The 2,353-nt window shown below is 38.8% G+C and overlaps 1 annotated feature.

Moving 5' to 3' along the window:
- Positions 691-1,503: an enhancer, noted in NCBI's record as "OCT4-NANOG-H3K27ac hESC enhancer chr4:88786985-88787797 (GRCh37/hg19 assembly coordinates)". NCBI's record gives its function as "activates a minimal SCP1, AML or CMV promoter by ChIP-STARR-seq in naive H9 embryonic stem cells {active_cell/tissue: H9 hESC(naive)}" and the evidence as "EXISTENCE:reporter gene assay evidence [ECO:0000049][PMID:30033119]".

The raw sequence follows: 2,353 nt of genomic DNA on the forward strand, positions 1-2,353 counted from the left end.
ATTCTCTATTGATTAAACCTAAGTATATCAAATGAAATTGATATAATACAATGAAATTTCAGAATGACCCTGAGGAAGAAACCCTTAGACAAATGAGTTGAACTTTCCAAGAAGTTCCTCAGACAGGGGAGAAAAAAGACAGCAAACTGGTAAAGGAAGAAATTAGAACCGTAAGGACTAAATTTTCCCCAAAGTGAGCTTGAGGTAAAAGGTTTTCCAGTCACAATGAAAACAGAATTTGCCAACAAGGTCATGATCACGTCAGACAACTTACAATGGGGAAAAAGAAATTTACAGAAAGCCTTGTTTATTTTTAACCACAAAATTTGGACTATTTCCAAACTACCTCTGGGAAGTGCCTGTCTGCCCTTGACCGTGATGTTGTTCCTTTTTCTCTCTTCTCTCCCTCAAACCTTCCCAGCACTCAGATGCCAACTTAAGGGTAGCAGGGAAGCACTCAATTGCATTTGAAAGTTCTAATCATGTTTTGTTCCTTTAACTTACATAATTGATTCTGGTGATTTGGGCATTTATCATTGGTAAGGGATTGCTTATTAAATGAATGGGAATACTTGTGCTCCTAATTTAATGCAAAAGCTCTATGCCTTTCTGACCTATGCGGTCTGCATTATTTTTGAAAAGTATAACTTAGTTATTTGTATTGTAATCCATTTAACAAACAACCTCACTGTCGTTGGTACAGTGTAATAAACTTTCTCTGGCAGCCAAAAGACTTTATGCACAATACAATGAGTGATTTTTGAGGACATCCTTGACAGTGGGAAATGGACCATATTGTTGTTCATTTCAGGGAGAATCCTGTGGAAGAAAAATAAAAATCTGAGGACCCCAAACTCACTATGCCAAAAGGAAAAGTCAACCTTGGGAACTGAACCACACAGAACTGCCTCCCATTTTATCCCTAAATAGCAACAAAGATAGAAGGCCACCTACTTCCCCAGGAGGCCTCCCACACAATTTCCTCATGAAGGAATTTCCTGTGGGCCTCAAGATCTTTACCCTAAAACAGTTCTGTTGAATTTCACCCTGACAATGTGAAACTAACAGGTTATCTTCACAGGTAAGGGTCAAAGAACAGGACTGCAAGTGATCCCTCCCCTTGCCTGAGACAAATAGTATTTGATTTCTTCCTCTGTGTTTACTTTACCTCATGTAAAAATGCAGAGTCACTGAGCAATGCACAATTGACTATTTCTCTAACCCCTCCTTTCACATGTAACATGTGGATTCAGTGACTGATGATCAAAGCCTCAAAAGAATGCAACAGCTTGCCCCTTTTATCTATTCCCCCTGACACCCTCCCCCCCGGCTGCCTTTTTCCTTTCTCTTTTCCCTACTGCCCATTCTTTCCCCTTTAAATATTGAAGTCCCAAACCTCCTTGGAAAAAGCATGGATCACAGATGATCCTGTGATTTTGTGTTCCTTTTCTTGTCCTCAACCTTGGCAAAGTAAACCTCTAAAATGATTGAGACTCACCTCAGCCATTTTCTCTGATTTATATTCCTGCTATTTCAAGCCGGTGAATGGAACAAGGTAGACCTCATCTATTTCCCAAGAATGATATTAATTTGCAGCATGATATCTGAAAAATCATTTCTCTACTCTCCATCATTAGAAGATATAGCTCCTTTGGAAGGCCAATGAAATATGTAGGATGCCTGGTTCCTTTGTAGATATTCTGACACAAGTCTTTGGACTTTTCTAGACTGGTGGCATTCATGTAGGTGGGTGTTCAAAGATGCACAAAGGACAATGTTAATATTCTTTTGAGGCAGCTCTTAAGAACTGAAACACTCCCTATAGACCAGTCAGCTTAGATGTCTTCTAGAGCAATTAATAAACTCCATAACCCAAATAAAGTCCAGGGTTCATGAAGCCCAGTGTCTAGATGCTGCTTTCAAAGGAACACAATCATCTGTAGTGGCTTCTAAATAATATGGGCTTAGGGACTTATATTATTGGAGGGCTACTAAAGAGCCTATAATAGCTGCATTTTTTTGTTGTTGCATTTTACATAAGACTGAGAAAACACTGATTATTATTCTCAAAGAATTGACTTTTTTGATGCCACCACTGAAGTTTAGAAGTCAAAACTAGTCATGTGTAGTTCTAATCCTTACTTGCCTCCTTTGACCAGTGTCAATGGGAATTCTATAAACAATCCACAGCAATATATGTTTTGAAATTTCCTTTCCCCTTCCTCTTGCACTCAATTTCTCTCCCCATGACTCCCTGAGATCTATCTTGTCACCAACCATAAATGTTTTCCCTGAAGTCTACTGATTTACTATCCCCTTTCTGTCTCTCCTAATTTTTTTTCCATACATAGTA

The sequence above is a fragment of the Homo sapiens genome, chromosome 4 (genome assembly GCF_000001405.40).
Source record: "Homo sapiens chromosome 4, GRCh38.p14 Primary Assembly".
Taxonomy (NCBI): domain Eukaryota; kingdom Metazoa; phylum Chordata; class Mammalia; order Primates; family Hominidae; genus Homo; species Homo sapiens.